Source organism: Homo sapiens, chromosome 12 (genome assembly GCF_000001405.40).
Source record: "Homo sapiens chromosome 12, GRCh38.p14 Primary Assembly".
NCBI classification, from domain to species: domain Eukaryota; kingdom Metazoa; phylum Chordata; class Mammalia; order Primates; family Hominidae; genus Homo; species Homo sapiens.
This window is the reverse complement of record NC_000012.12, coordinates 108,441,118-108,458,069: the sequence shown is the minus strand read 5'-3', so window position 1 is coordinate 108,458,069 and position 16,952 is coordinate 108,441,118. Positions and strand designations below refer to the sequence as shown.

The window sequence follows — 16,952 nt, the reverse complement described above, 5'->3', positions numbered from 1 at the left end:
GTCAGACCTTGAACTATTACACTCAATTGCCTCTATTTTCCCCTCCTTTAAAGCCAGTTTTTACAGTGGGATTGTTTTTATGTATTATATGTGTGAAACAAATAACTACATCCTGGTCTCACTTGGATATTTGTAAGGGCCTGTATCCCCATGTGGGTGAATGTGAGCCATCCTGCCTTCTGGGCTGGGGGTGGGAGCCGCCCCAGCAGACCACAGCAATGGCACAGCAGGATGTCAACACCAGAAGGACCCGTGGGCACATTCCTGAGCTCAGGTAAAAGGATTCCTGCGGAAACCTCAGAAATAGCTGGGGCTAATTCCAAGCCATTAGGCTGCTGTGGGCTTGCACCTTAATAATTTAGGAGTGACAAGAACTTCTTCAAGGAGTAAAAGACTATTATATAATCACACACATCTCAGGCTAAGGCCTGGGACATGAGGGATTATATAATAATGCTCTATATGGAACAAAAATAGGATTATATTTTGCATTGTGCATGTGAACTGATTTTGTATTCAATATGTCATAAATGCTCGGCAGCCTTTGAAAAAAGATAAGGTAGGTACTAGCTGTCTCCTATGTGCATTGTTGGCCATCCTGCAGGTAGACTGTAATTTGCTTCTCTAATCCCCTAGGGGGCACCAATGTTACTTTCTGAATCTAAACAATGTTGCAGGGACATCCTTGGCCTCCAGTGGCTTCAGTGTGTCTGACTTTCCCAAGGAGCCTGTAAACATGTAGATCCTGGGCTCACCCTGTGTAATAACTACTGCTTAATAACGAATTACCCCCAAACCTAGCAGCTTGAAACAATGACTATTCATTTGTCTCACAGAGGTTTTGAGAGTCAGGAATTAGGGAGTGTCCTAGCTGGTTGCTTCTGGCTTGAGGTCTCTCAGGAGTCAAGATGTGGTTCAGACTCAACTGGGGCGGGAGGATCCATTTCCAAGGCAGCTCTCTCACAAGATCTGTGCTGGCTGTTGGCAGAATCCAGCTCCTGGACCTGCAGAATTCTCTATAGGGTTGCTTGAGTGTCCTCATGACATGGCGGCTGACTTTCCCCCACAAAGAGTGACCCAAGAGAAAGCAAGACAAGGCTTTTATGACTTAACCTCAGACGGCGCTCTGTCATTTCTGCAATATGCCATTGCATTAGTTACAGAGGCCAGGCCTGTTCAAGGTGGGAGGAGACTATAACAAGGTGGGTGTGAATACCAGGGACACAGCGGGAGGCCGGAATCACTGGGAGTCATCTTAGGAGATTTCACAGGTGTGAGTGGAATGCAGGGATCCCACCCTCCCCCCTACTTTTTTTTTTTTTCAGAGACGATGTCTTGCTCTGTTGCCCAGGCTGGAGTGCAGTGGTGTGATTATCGCTCACTGCAGACTTGAACTGAGGCTGGATGCCACAGCTTAGGAGATTCTGATTTTGCAGGTGTTGAGTGGAATGCAGAGGTCCTGTCCCACCCACACCCCTTGCCCAGCTAATGCCCCCCTAACTTTTTTTTTTTTTTTTTGAGATGGAGTCTCACTCCATTGCCCAGGCTAGAGTGCAATGGCGCGATCTCAGCTCATTGTAACCTCCGCTTCCTGCGTTCAAGCGATCCTCCTGCCTCAGCCTCCCGAGTGGCTGGGATTACAGGTGTGTGCCACCACGCTGGCTAATTTTTGTATTTTTAGTAGAGACAGGGGTTTCACCATGTTGGCTAGGCTGGTCTTGAACTCCCGACCTCAGGTGATCTGTCTGCCTTGGCCTCCCAAAGTGCTGGGATTGGAGGTGTGAACCACAGCCTAATGCCCCTTGTTAACAGGTGCCCAGGGTAATCTGTTGTGGGCACTCCGAGCATATATTTCAGAAGATATCTGTATGTCTATGATTGTTCACATCTCTGATTATTTTTTTTAGGGTAAATGTCCAGAAGTGGATTTTCTAGGTGAAGGGGACACCCTAGCATAATGCTATTGGTATCTTCTATCACTCCGTTCTCTAGAGAGGGGACCTCAGGCTACACTCTGGATATGGAGCCTTGAAATGCCCTTCAACCACACTGAGTTGACTATGGCAATCCTGTTAGCCTGTTTTTAGGATGTGGGTTGGACAGGAAGAGGTGACTAGAATGACAGGGCAGAATATATTTTGCGTTTCTTGCCTGACATCAGCAAAGCACTGAGGTTGGTGGCAGCGGTGAAGTTGTCAACCAGAAAAATGCATTAGCTCAGCACAGATTTACTAACTCAGTCTTCAGTTCCTCTTTAAGAGGGGCTGCAAATGGGCTCCTGAAATTTGCTTGCCCTGGGATGTGGGAGCGAGGGGACAGGAATGCCACTGGTATCTTTGGTTTGTGTATACAGTAGAAGACTTTGAACAATCCCGAAAAAAACTCATTGGTCTATAAATGGACATTTACAGAAAAGACCCTGGGCAGACTTCACTTTGGAGTCACACAGATGGAGAGTTTGGGTCCCAGCTCCTCCTTGTTTGATTAGGAGAACTTGGGTGTTACTTGGTTCTCTGAGCCTCGGTTTCTTAGTCTATATAATGGAGGTAATTATTACAATGTGTGTGTATAACTTTGAGATGAAAAAAGAGTAAAAAACCCAAATAATCACATTGGGGGTCATTTTGAAAATCAAATGATAGCTGGGGATCCTGCAGGGGCATCAGTTGTGTGTGGCCCTTCTGCTGGTATCATCTATCTGATGTATTGAGCTAGCTTTCCCGACCTCTGACTTAATGTGGTGTAGATTAACCCCATTCCTGGCTCCCTGGGTAGGCGATTTTGTTATAGGAAAGGGGTCCCAATAGAGACCCCAAGAGAGGGTTCTTGGATCTCGCGTAAGAAAGAATTCAGAGTGAGTCCATAGATTAAAGTGAAAGCAAGTTTATTAGGAAAGTAAAGGAATAAAAGAATGGCTGCTCCGTAGACAGAGCAGCCCTGAGGGCTGCTGGTTGCCCATTTTTATGGTTGTTTCTTGATGATATGCTAATCAAGGGGTGGATTATTCTTGTCTCCCCTTTTTAGACTATATAGGGTAACTGCCTGTGGTTGCCATGCCATTTGTAAACTGCCATTTGGGGCTTTCACAGTGGGAGTGTAGCAGTGAGGACGACCAGAGGTCACTCTCGTCGCCATCTTGGTTTCAGAGGGTTATAGCTGGCTTCTTTACTGCAACCTGGTTTATCAGCAATGTCTTTAAGACCTGTATCTTGTGCCGACCTCCTATCTCATCCTGTGACTAAGAATGCTTTAACCATCTGGGAATGCAGCTCAGTAGGTCTCAGCCTCATTTTACCCAGGTCCTATTTAAGATGGAGTTGCTCTGGTTCACACGCCCCTGAAGATTTTAGCTTTGGCCAGTCAGAGGACTTATTGCATCCCAAGCCACAACAAGGTTCAGGGAAGGCACATGACTCCTGCCCATCCAATCAGAGTGAATTCCAGGACTTGTGAGAGATATCCTGATAAAGAGGCATTCTTCTTCTGCTGAGGGTCTGAGCTAGTGGGATGTAAGCCAGGAGCTGCTGTCATTTATTTTGTTATGCTGGGGGAAACACGTACCTGAGAGTGAAGCCAACAGAGACAAAAAAGAGAGAAGAACCAAATCTTGATTCTGTCTTTTTAGCACCTGGATCAAGCTGCACCTGAACTTTCAAGTTATACCAGCCAGTAAATCCCCCTTTAGGCTTAAATCAGTTTGATTTGAGTTTCTGAAACTTTCAGTCTTGCATAGTAACAAATGAGGTAAAATTTGGGGCTATGTGAAAGCCCTAAATAGCAGCAAATTATCTGTGTTAAATTTCCATGCATTTGTTACCTTTGCTGGGGATGAGGCAAGGTTATATTTTCCTGGGTCACTCTCTCATCCCCTTGGGAAAAGGAACTACTTGTGTTCATTTTGAAAAGCCAGACATTTGGCCACTCCTAGAGACATAACATAAACTCTGTTTCTCAAAGCATGAGTGTGTCTCTAGAATGGAATATCTTCTCTGCTTACTGCTTACACTCTTCAGAAATTAACGTGTCTCTTTGTAATTCACAGAAAAAATACCCCAACAAAACCCTGAATGAATAGAATTTATAGTTTTGGCTTTTTCTTTCATCCTTTTCTCATCAGATCATTGGCTCTTGCTACTAGCTTATATTACAATTTGATATGATAGTTGATTTAGCACAAAATTTTATGTGACAGGATAATTCATTGCAACACCATTAATTTGTGTTTTGTTTTGTTACAGGAAAAGACTCAGAATGGATGGAAGTTGTTTATAAATTCTCCTCTGCTGCATACTGTTAAGAAGGGGAAAGAGGAGTGCTGGGTAGGTGGACATGCAATGTCTGCTACAAGTGGTACTCAATAAATGTTTCTTTTACTCTTTCCTCTTCTGTCTTGTTAGAACATTGCAAAATACTAGAAGAGCAGTTATCTGCAGGCAGAAGAATTCTCCCAGGGTCCATCAAAACCTACTCCATAGCCAATGACCTAAATATGAAGCCTGTGGATTCACATCAGACAGAGGACTGGTAGATGAGAGCTTTCGGGGCTGCTGCAGGAGTGCATAGGCTCTGACTCCATTACCCATCACAGAATGTTACCATTCAAAGATCAGTGATGTACATCCTAGATAATACTGGCAGCCAGGAGCTGCAGAGCCCAGTTCCAAGAAGGCACTCTGTAATCTCAGGGAACTTGAACCATTCTGTTTGCCCTTCAGCTTGCAGCCCTTGGCTTATGGCTCAAAAGATAGGGAGATGAGTGACTTTGAGGAGTGGGGAAGAGGCACAAACAATGAGTGAGGAGGGAGATCCCTCAACACCAGTGGGGTAGGAGATCGGCAGATGCCTCAATCCACTCTCTCATGGGATCCTGGGGAGGTGGCTGGACCCCCACTGGTGGTCAGGATGGGGAGGTGTGGAATGGCTGGGGTATGCTGAAAGAAGCTGGACCCTGGGTACTGGGCCCCCCAGCCTCCACAAAGATTCCTGTGGCCAAACTTAATGGATTCTGCAGAGTTGGATTATAAACTCACCAGTAAGGTCATGGGGAACTGAAGTCCAGACCTTATCCTTTGTTTCCTGGCCCCAAGTTAAACCTCTCAGATTCTAATGTGACCTTAGGGAGGTCGAAGGACCACCTCAAAACAGGGAGATTGATTTCTTGCCAACTCCATAGGTTGGGGGCTCAGAGTTGATTGGAAAATGAGCATGGCATTTATTACACATTTCCTTTTGCAGGTGATGTTTTATAAGCATAACTATTATTTATTAGATGTTTACTAGTGCCACACACTGTGCTGAGTATGTTAACTTGCAGTATTGACTTTACCCTTCAAAGCAACCCCAAGATATTAGATATTATTTGCTACAAGTAATTTACATTTTGTAGATGAGGAAGCTTGAGTCTTAGAGAGATTAGCTTGCTTGCTGTAGCATATGTTGTTGATGCCCCTTCAAGCCCCACTCCTACACCCTTGGGTTTTACCATTTCCGAGGCCACGGGCAGAACTTCCATCTCCTAGCATTGGCAGCACTTTGCCCAAGGGCTCTCTTTGGCCACCAGATCCCCCATACATAATAGGCCAGAAGTGCAAGGGGGTTAATGCCTCTGGCAGCATCCCTTAAATAATAACATATGGGAGTTGGAGTATTAATACCCCAGTTCCCTTGCTGCTTGGATGAGTTACCATTGAGGCAGTGTTTAACATTGGTTCTCCAGCAGAATTCATCTCCAGTGACAGCTTCCTTGATACACACCCTTTATTTGTTCCTCCTCTTCCCCACTCCCCTGTGGTGCTTCCTGAGGTCACTTTCTAAATCAACTATGTGCACTTGAACCCTTGTCTTAAAGTAAGTTTCTGAAGGATCTTCAACTAAGACACTTGCCCATGGTAAGTTGCAGAGCTGGGATCTAAATCCTGTTCTGCCTATCTCTAATTCCTGTGCACTTAGTCTTTGCGCTAGAAGTTTCTTTTAAGCATGATATACCAGCATTTTGAGTGTCTGCAAGGACTCCATGATGTACAAGTTCTCTGCCACTTGGCAAGCTTGAAAGCAGTGATCTCAGATATGTGTATGTGAAGTGAGTGGGAACTACATAGACCCCTGATCTTATTTACTATGGAAGTGTCAGGGAGAGCAGCTTCCATAAGCCAATGTCAGGGTGGAATTCTTCTGCTCTTTGGTGGGAAAGAGGAGGGAGGAGAGTGCTGTTCTGAGGAGGGGTCTATGTGCTGATGTTGAGTCTAGTTAGCATGCTGCTTGAGTACATCTCCTCCAAGCTGGCCATCTCTCAGCTGGGCGATAAAGTAATTTGACTAGGGCTGTCTTCCAGGCTAGAGCTCCTGGAGATTGCTCCCCATTTATCATGGAGGAAAAATCGGGATCCACAGCTCCTGGCTTGCCAGCATCATCTAGCCTGCACGTCATTGATCTTTGAATGGTGAAGTTCCGTGATGGGTAATGGAGACAGAGCCCGTACGCTCCAGCAGCCACAAAATCTCTTCTCAAACCAGTCCTCTGCCTGATGTGATTCCACAGGCTGTGTGTTTACTCATTGGCAATGGGGTAGGAGTTGATGGACCCTGGGAGGATTCTTCTGCCGACAGATGCCTGCTCTGCTGATTTGTCGTGATGTATCTCAACAGAGAAGGACTGGGAGGAGGGAAGAAAATGTGTTTTGAATACGACTGCAGTGGAAGTTGTATGCTTGCCTACATGCAGGGATCTGTAACCTTTTTTCTGTAAAGGCCCCAGTAGTAAAGATTTTTGACTTTGCAGCCATATGGTCTCTGTTGCAACTATTTAATCCTGTCATTGTACCACAAAAGCAGCTATAGACAAATGTATAGATGAATGACTGTGGCTAAGTTCCAATAAAACTTTATTTACAATAGCAGGCTGGGTTTGGCAGGCCAGCTGACTCTGGCCTACAGCACCCACCCTCTCTTACCCTCTTTCCTTATACGACCTGATTTTCATATCATCCCTCTCTTGTATCCCTTGTGCTCCTGGGAGATTGACTCCATCCTCAGTCATCAGGGGTGGATTGTGATTGGTTTAAGCCAATCAGCATTCCATTTCTCTGCCCCCAGACCCCCTCCTCTGGGCAGAGTGATTGATTCAGAAGTGGACAGGTGACTGAAGTCAACCAATCTGACTGAATGTCAAAACTCTTCCTTGTGAGTAGGGAAAAAGGCAATTCATGTCCATAGATTCCATAGGTTTCAAACATGAGACCTGGAGCTACTGCAGCTATTTTGTTCTCCCAAGGAAAGCCTGTTTGTGGATGAAGTCAGCCACAACGAGAAAGTAAGGATTATGAGAATTAGAAGTGAAGAGTGAGCCCTGAGACTTTCCAATTATAAATTGCTTTTAAAAAAATGCCAATTTGTGGCCAGGCACGGTGGCTCACACCTGTAATCCCAGCACTTTGGGAGGCTGAGGTAGGCGAATCACTTGAGGTCAGGAGTTCGTGACCAGCCTGGCCAACATGGTGAAACCCCGTCTCTACTAAAAATACAAAAATTAGTCAGGCATCATGGCACGTGCCTGTAATCCCAGCTACTCAGGAGGCTGAGGCAGGAGAATCACTGGAACCCCAGAGGTGGAGGTTGCAGTGAGCCGAAATCGTGCCACTGCACTCCAGCCTGGGTGACAGAGCGAGACTCTGTCTCAAAAATAATAATAATAATAAAAATAATTACAAAAATTAGCCGAGTGTGGTGATGTGCACCTGTAGTCCCAGCTACTCAGGAGGCTGAGGCAGGAGAATGGCTTGAACCTGGGAGGCAGAGGTTGCAGTGAGCTGTGATTGTGCCACTGTACTCCAGCCTGGGCGACAGAGAGATGCTTCTCAAAAAATAAAAAAATAAAAATAGGCCAGGCATGGTGGCTCTCGCCTGTAATTCCAGCACTTTGAGAGGCCGAGGTGGGCGGATCACAAGGTCAGGAGTTCGAGACCTGCCTGGCCAACATGGTGAAACCCCATCTCTACTAAAAATACACACACACAAAATTAGCTGGCATGGTGGCGGGTGCCTGTAATCCCAGCTACTAGGGAGGCTGAGGCAGGAGAATTGGTTGAATCTGGGAGATGGAGGTTGCAGTGAGCCGAGATCGCGCCACTGCACTCCAGTCTGGGTGACAGTGCGAGACTCCTTCACACACACACAAAATAAAGTAAAATAAAAATAAATGCCATTTTGAGATGAACTTTAAGTACTTAAGAATCTTAATAGGCTTTTTTTTTTTGTAGCTAGACATTATGCTTCACAGATATCATCTAATTTAATAGTCATAACAACTCTATGTACAAGGCTTTCTAATCTCTATTTAGCAGATGCTGAGACTAGGACATAAAAAGATTAAGTGGCATGGTTTGAAGTCACACAGTGGAGATGGTAATGAGTGACCACCTGGAACCCCTCCTGCATTCTCATATTTCAGCATTACTTCCTGCCCCTGGCCACAGTGATTGACGGCTCTTGGAAGAGGCATATGATGCGAGCTGAGCCCATCAGAATCCTTCTCTGGGATTTTTCTTTCTGGAGCTGGAGGAAAAGAGTTCTTTTTCTCTGTTTGTGCATCCCCCTTTCTAGAAATCTTTTTTTCCACCCAAATCTGCAAGATTGTAGAGGGAGCAGCCATTGTTATAGTATAACCCTGCCTCTGGTCACAGTTGATTGTTTTAAAGGAAAACACTTGACCCAAGAAAGACTAATTAGTCCTGTGTTGTTTTAAAAATATATCTGTCAGAGGCGTTTGAATCACAGCGACTCCATCTTGAGTGAGGGCTGGAAAATGAGACTGGGACCTGCTGGGCTGCGTCCTCAGAAAGTTTGGCATTCTGAGCCTCTAGATGTTTACGGTTAAGGGAACAAATTAATAATGTTTACTAACAGACCCAGACTTGGGAGTGTCCAGATATCCTGATATCTGGAGAACACAGGCATTCCTAATTTTGCTTTAAAGATAATAATATCGATTCTTGCAAAATATAGTCATTAAGAAAATTAATCCTCTATCACAAACCCTTGGAGCACATCTCCCCATATATACAAACATTGTACCTAGGGTGGATGTGTTCCTCCTCTCACTTTCAGGAATGTCCTACTCTGTCTATGGAGTAGCTGTCCTTTCACCACTTTACTTTCTTAATAAACTTGCTTTTACTTTGCGCTGCAGACTCACCCTGAATTCTTTCTTACGCGAGATCCAAGAATTGTCTCTTGGGGTCTGTGCTGGGACTGCTTTCCTGTAACATATTTCTGGCGTCCACAGAAGGGACTATAGTGAGGAAACCACTGACTTTGGGTAAGTGGTGGGGTCCTGTAACATATTCACAAGTTCTTTGATACTCCTTCCTTCAAAAGGTGAAGCTCTCCCTTTCATAAAACATGGGCTGAACTTAGGGACTTGCTTTAAATTAATAGAATGATGGTATGTGATGTCTGAGGCTGATCATAAAAGGATAGTTTCTGCTAGATGTTTTCTGTCTTTTAAAAAAATATTTAAATATTGATTTGTTTATTATTTTCAGTCCAAATCTGTTTCAGCCTATGTTCTGTCTCTCAGATCACTCCCTGCAGGTGAAGCCAACTGCCATGTTGTGCAGAGGCTCCAGCCTCCCGTGGAGAGGCCCACACGGAGAGGATCTGCCATCGCCAGCAGGAGCTTTCCAGCCATGTGAGTGACTTCTTCTGGAAATGGATTCTCCAGCCCCAGTTAACAGCATTCCGATTGTTAACCAAAAAGTGACTGAGGCCATTAGAGGTTTATTTAGCCAAGGTTGAGGATGCACCCTGGACAAACAGAAATCGGAGGAGCATCTGTGATCTCTGCTTTTCTCCAAAGGGGGCTTTGTGTGCACTTTGGTTTTTAAAGGAGAAAGAGCAAGGAGTGGGAGGCAGGAGAGGAAGGGAGGGAGATATGCAGTGAGGTAGATGGTTACATTCTTGTGAAGCCCTGATTAGTCTCAATAAATCCAAATTTTAGGCGGGGCACAGTGGCTCATACCTGTAATCCCAGCACTTTGGGAGGCTGAGGCAGGTGGATCACTTGAGGCTGGGAGTTCCAGACCAGCCTGGCCAACATGGCAAAACCCTGTCTTTACTAAAAATACAAAACTTATCTGGTGTGTAGCTGTAATCCCAGCTACTCAGGATGCTGAGGCAGGAGAATCGCTTGAACCTTGGAGGTGGAGGTTGCAGTGGGCCAAGATTGTGTCATTGCACTACAGCCTGGGCAACAGAACAAGACTCTGTTTCAAAAAAATCAGTCAATCAATCAATCAACATTATACATGTGAAAAGAGGGAGTAGAGGAAAAAGTCAATTATGTATTATCTCCCTCTCAGTAAATCTACATTTTACATAAGATAAACATGAAAAGAGGGAGTAGAGGAAATGAGCTCATGGTTTGGGTTGTGAAATTCCAGCTGTCTGTTTGGGAACAAAAGGAAGACAGTATTGGTGGCTCAATTCCCAAGCTTAACTTTCCCTTTGGCATAGTGAGTTTGGGGTCGCATAATTCTATTTTTTTTTTTCATAAGATGATTTCTGGCATGGGAGACACTGAACCATAACCACCCAGCTAAGCTGCCCCTGGATTCCTGACCTGCAAGACATGAAGTGAGATAACAAATGGTGTTGTTGTAAACCTTACCATTTCTGGGTAATTCATTGTGCAGCAGTAGATAACTGATACCAGACCCTTCACTGAGTCTTTTGGGCTTGAAATGGAGAGAGTCAGGCTAATTTGGGATCTGGGATCTCTTGGCAGACATTATTTCCTATCATAAAGATCAGAATGCCAGAAGAAGCCAGTTTCCAAGCAAGAGAGGGCAAAATGAGAGAGGGAGAGTGGGAGAGAGAAAGAGAGAAGAGAATAGAGAGAGAGAAGACTGGGGTGTGTGTGTTATTTCTACCTTTTTTTGGGTGACAAAACCCAGATTTACCTTTGCAGGGATGACTCTTTTCCCACTCTGTGTTCATTTGGTTCGATAGATCTGGCTGCACGCCCTCGCTTCCTGGGTGATTATGTAATTTACATAGTTTTAGCACCAATATGAAGTAGTTTCTGAAGCTAGCCTCCGGGGTTTTCAGTTATCTGAGCCAGTATTTCCTCCCTACTTTTTTTTTTGCTAAACTTGGTTTGACTTGAGTCTCACAAGTGAAAGCGACTTCATTGAAACAGGAGCAGAGAGAAGCAGCAGATAGAGATTAAGAAATTTCTTGAGAATGTACAAATTCCTGGATCCAGCTGTTCCCAAAACCCAGGCAAATCCTGCCTTCAATAACAACAGCCGGACAGCAGCAACAGCAAACATTTATTGAATACTTATAATGAATTCCACCTTTGGCTAATTTAGTTTCTCCCATTCGCAATCAAGAAAGTCTTGAAGAATACAATATCCATTGCAAAAATATCTGGAAAGGGAGATAATGTGCCAAGGGAAGCAAAATAAATCAAGGTTTACAAAAAGACAAAAGTGAAAGATCACGCAAGACCATAACTGTGTCATGTGTAAATTTCACCTAGGCCTTCTCTGTATTTAGGGCACCCTGTGACAGGGACCTCAGCCCCATAGGGAGATCTCAATGGATTAGATGCTAAGCTGATGCAGGCTTGGGGAGTTGCCAGAGAAACCTAAGCAAGGCATACATCTAAAAGCTTTCTGAATAGTTAAAATTAGGTCCTAAATCTATCTTCTTATTAAGAATGACAGGGATGGGCCGGGTGTGGTGGCTCACACCTATAATCCCAGCACTTTGGGAGGCTGAGGCAGGCGGATCACTTGAGATCAGGAGTTCAAGACCAGCCTGGTCAACATAGAGAAACCCCATCTCTACTAAAAATACAAAAAATTAGCGGGGCGTGGTGGCACATGCCTGTAATCCCAGTTACTTGGGAGGCTGAGGCAGGAGAATCACTTGAATCTGGGAGGCAGAGGTTACACGGAGCCAAGTTTGTGCTATTGCACTCCAGCCTGGGCGACAGAGTGAGACTCCACCTCAAAAAAAAAAAAAAAAAAAAAAAAGAATGTTAGGGATGGAAGATGGTGTTGGAAGGGGGATGTTTTTAAATTGAGAAACCATATTCCTTATGTATTCTTTTTTTTTTCTCTTAGGTTTTTTCCTTTTTTGCATAGAATACGAAGTTCAAGTTCTGTTGTTGTTGTCTTTGTTGTTGTTTTGAGACGGAATTTCACTCTTGTTGCCCAGGTTGGAGTGCAATGGTGTGATCTTGGCTCACTGCAACCTCTGCCTCCCAGGTTCAAGTGATTCTCCTGCTTCAGCCTCCCAAGTAACTGGGATTACAGGCATGCACCACCACGCCCAGCTAATTTTTTGTAATTTTTTTTTTTTTTTTTTTTTTTTTTTTTAGTAGAGATGGTGTTTCTCCATGTTGATCAGGCTGATCTTGAACTCCTGGCCTCAGGTGATTTGCCTGCCTCGGCCTCCCAAAGTGGCGGGATTACAGGCGTGAGCCACTGTGCTTGGCCTACGAAGTTCAAGTTCTACTTCCTCTCTCTCCAGAGGTGCTCACTTTTTAACAGGTTGGAGTGTATTCTTGAAGGTTTTTTTTTATGCATTTGCACACATATACATCTGCCTGTATGTAGTTTTGCATTTCCTTTCTTTTTTTATTTTTAACATAACAAGGGTGTTTATTTTGGGTATAAACTATCTTTCATTGAACTGTGAGATGTTTCTAAAGATCTAAGAGAAGTGTACACACCCAGAGTAGTTTATAAGCAGAATAGCTCATAACCCTGGTATGGAAAAGACCATTTCTTGAACTCACAGAACAATGTCTTTAAAATTTCATTCCTAAAAAAGTACAAGCTGTTCTGGATAAGAAAGTGTGAGACCTTGTGATAACCATTGTTTCTTCAGGATATTTTCCATTTTATGTATCCAGTGTCATTTCTAAATACTTAATAGACCGTCATTGAAATACAGTATATTCAGAACAGAAGGTATATACATTTACTATAAATACTTATCTTGCATATACTGTGCACATATGTGGTTTTCAATAGCTTCAGGTATGCTGGAAATTTTTGACTGGCCCCTTTGGTGAACACCAGGCTATGGGCTGCATATGTGGTAATGTCAGACCTCTGAGCCCAAGCTAAGCCATCATATCCCCTGTGACCTGCATGTATACATCCAGATGGCCTGGAGCAACTGAAGATGCACAAAAGAAGTGAAAATAGCCTTAACTGATGACATTCCACCATTGTGATTTGTTCCCACTCCACCCTAAGTGATACATGTATTCTCCCCCGCCCTTGAGAAGGTGCTTTGTAATATTCTCCCCGCCCTTGAGAATGTACTTTGTACGTCTACCCCAAACCTATAAGAACTAATGATAATCCCACTATCCTTTGCTGACTCCTTTTTTGGACTCAGCTCGCCTGCACCCAGGTGAAATAGCCTTGTTGCTCACACAAAGCCTGTTTGGTGGACTGTCTCCACATGGACGTGCGTGACAGTAAATCAATTCCAGACACTCTTCTTTTTTTTTTTTTTTTTTTTGAGACGGAGTCTCGCTCTGTCGCCCAGGCTGGAGTGCGGTGGCGTGATCTTGGCTCACTGCAAGCTCTGCCTCCTGTGTTCTCGCCATTCTCCTGCCTCAGCCTTCTGAGTAGCTGGGACTACAGGTGCCCGCCACCACGCCCGGCTAATTTTTTTTGTATTTTTAGTAAAGATGGGGTTTCACCGTGTTAGCCAGGATGGTCTCAATCTCCTGACCTCGTGATCCACCCATCTCGGCCTCCCAAAGTGCTGGGATTACAGGCGTGAGCCACCGCGCCCAGCCCAGACACTTCTTTAGTTCCAGTTCTGGCAGAGATCTTCTCACTGTCAGAGACGTGTCAGCTAGAACAACTCCATCTTAAATAGGACCTGGGTAAAATGAGGCTGAAACCTATTGGGCTGCATTCCCAGATGGCTAGGCATTCTCAGTCACAGGATGAGACAGGCGGTCAGCTCAAGATACAGGTCAGATCTTGCTGATAAAACAGCTTGCAGTAAAGAAGCCGGCCAAAGCCCACCGAAACCAAGATGGCAACGAGAATGACCTCTGGTTGTCCTCACTGCTACACTCCCACCACCACCACGACAGTTTACAAATGCCATGGCAACCTCAGGAAGTTACCCTACATGGTCTAAAAAGGGGAGGCATGAATAATCCATCCCTTGTTTAGCATATCATCAAGAAATAACCATAAAAACTGGCAACCAGCAGCCCTCGGGGCTGCTGTGTTTATGGGTTAGCCATTCTTTTGTTCCTTTACTTTCCTAATAAACTTGCTTTCACTTTAATCTATGGACTTACCTGGAATTCCTTGTTATGCGAGATCCTAGAACCCTCTCTTGGGGTCTGGATCAGGACCTCTTTCCTGTAACATCACCATGGTTGATAATGTATGAGGGAATTATGGCTAATATGTGTTCCTTTTGCTTCTGGGTGCTGCTGTAACATAGATTCCTGGCAAGTAAATAGGGCCTAGTTTAAAGACCATTTCAACTAGGTGGTTAAGGAAATGAACTCATTTTCATCTTTGGTGAGTATTGAGTGACATCAGTATTTCCCATAGTCTTTGCTCTCTGGATAGCTGAGGTATAGGAAACAACTACATTAGAAACACATTTGGAAGCCTGGGCCACTTGAAATTGTTATAATTAAAGTTTCGGTGCTGCAAAAGAATAGCACTCGAATATAAAATTTTCTTTTTAATTCTCAGCAGGGCAAGTTAATTCTATTGCGCCCTTACAGATGGAGCAATGGTGAGTGCACACTTGGACAAGGGAGGAGATATGGTTCTTAACCCTGACTCACGTGGCCCCTGCTGCTGTGTCATTCCCCAATTGGCTAGGGTTAGACCGCACAGGCTAAACTAATTCTGACTGGCTAATTTAAAGAGAGTGACGGGGTGAGTGGTTTGGCGTGAAAAATGGTTATGCAGGGTGGAGAATGAGTTAGGGCGGATCAGGTAGCAGGTAATCAGAATGAGTCAGCGTGGAGCAGGTAATCGGAAAAGGTTGCTTTATGAGGAAGCTAAGTTTAACAGTAGAAGGCAAAGAATTGAATATACTGACATATTGATTCTTTGAAAAGAAATTTAGAACTCATACCTAACAAAATGTATTAAAAATCTAAAGTTCACATTCAGGATTTACGATTCTGATTTTTTTTCCCCAAGACCATTTCCTTTTTAATAATACTTAACGTTGTAAATGGGTCTCGTGCACACAAGGAAATCTTCATTTTTAAAGAGATATTTAATATTTCAACAGAATATTATCCATTCCCTTGTTAATAGGCATTTAATTGTTTCCATCTTTTTTGTGTTTGTTTCAAGCACACCCTTCTCCATATGTATTTGTGCACGTGTATGTCTGTTGGAAAGATGGGTCCTAGAAATAGAGTTGAGAGGGTAGAAGTTTATGCAAGTTTTGAAGTTTGATGGAATCTGCCATTGCCCTTGGAAAAAGCTGTGCCTTGTCATTTTGGTGAGTTTAAGCTCCTGTTACTCTCTGCCTTGTCAAGACTGGGCAATATCCAGTGTCTTGTTTTTGCTAATCTGATTGGTGAAAAGATACCCTTTTGTTGTTTTAATGTGAATGAATTTCCTTTATTTTTTCAACTTTCAAACAACTTCCTTTTTCTTGAATCCACCCACCGTCCCACTTCCTGCCACTGTTAGATTCCACATTTCCTTTCTTTTCCAAGTGAACCCAGCTGCCAGAATTCCTTTCAAGCTATGAGGCCTCAGGGCTGGGCTCTTCAAGGGTGTAATTAGCATAACCGAATCCCTGGCTTTAAGCCACTCACTACTTTCCTTTCAACACTGCATTTAAGGAAATTAGGAAGATGGCTTTGATCACTTTCAGGATGTGGTGGTGTTCTGTGCCTTTCACGTTTGAGATTTCCCTGGAGGACTGGCTGCCAGTGGGTTTGGTAGAGAGAATGGGGTAAGGGTGTTGAGGGCAAGGAAGGGCTTCTTGGGACCCCAGGGACATCTTAAATTGATGGTGATTTGCAATTAAAGCCAAAGAAAGATGTGCAAATCAGGATTAGGGGTTAAGGGTGTATGTGAGTAGGGAAATGGTGGAATAAATAATTAAAATACAAAACGCACATGTGCTAGGGACAGCGCTGAAGACCTGAAATGTATGACCTTTTATAGTCCCCACTACAACCCTGTGAAGTTGGTTCTAGTGTTATCCCCCTTTATAAATGTGAAAACCAAGGTTCAGAGAGTTGAATTGCTTTGATTAAGACCGCACAGCATGTAGGTGGCTGACTAGGACTCCAACTCCTGCTGTCTTGCTCCCTCTTAAGAATTGCAAATACTGCCTCCCACCTCAAGGTAATGTTGGGCTAGCCCTGTATAGCCTAAAGATGTGCCTGGACGTATATTACTTGATTTCACATAAACCACCTGTGAGATAGTTACTGGAAAAACCAAACTCTGTGAAATATGTGAAGAGGTTTATTCTGAGCCAATATGAGTGATCACAGCCCAGGAAACAGTCTCAAGAGGTCCTGAGAAAGTGTGCCCAAGGAGGTTGGGTTGCAGTTTGGTTTTATACATTTTAGGGAGGCAGGAGATACAGGCAAAGACAGAAATCAATACATGGAAGGTATACAGTGGTTTGGCCTGAAAAGATGGGATGAAGTGGGGGCTTACGGGTCATAGATAGATTCTGAGATTTTCTTTTTTCTTTCTTTTTTTTTTTTGAGGTGGAATTTCACTCTTGTCACCCAGGCTGGAGTGCAATGGCACAATCTCGACTCACTGCAACCTCCGCCTCCCGGGTTCAAGCAATTCTCCTGCTTCAGCCTCCTGAGTAGCTGGGATTACAGGCATCTGCCACCACGCCTGGCTAATTTTTGTATTTTTTTTAGTAAAGACAGGGTTTCACCATGTTGGCCAGGCT

General features: G+C 44.1%; 2 annotated features.

Moving 5' to 3' along the window:
- Positions 15,159 to 15,916: an enhancer, noted in NCBI's record as "OCT4-NANOG-H3K27ac hESC enhancer chr12:108835931-108836688 (GRCh37/hg19 assembly coordinates)". NCBI's record gives its function as "activates a minimal SCP1, AML or CMV promoter by ChIP-STARR-seq in naive and primed H9 embryonic stem cells {active_cell/tissue: H9 hESC(naive and primed)}" and the evidence as "EXISTENCE:reporter gene assay evidence [ECO:0000049][PMID:30033119]".
- Positions 15,917 to 16,673: an enhancer, noted in NCBI's record as "OCT4-NANOG-H3K27ac hESC enhancer chr12:108835174-108835930 (GRCh37/hg19 assembly coordinates)". NCBI's record gives its function as "activates a minimal SCP1, AML or CMV promoter by ChIP-STARR-seq in primed H9 embryonic stem cells {active_cell/tissue: H9 hESC(primed)}" and the evidence as "EXISTENCE:reporter gene assay evidence [ECO:0000049][PMID:30033119]".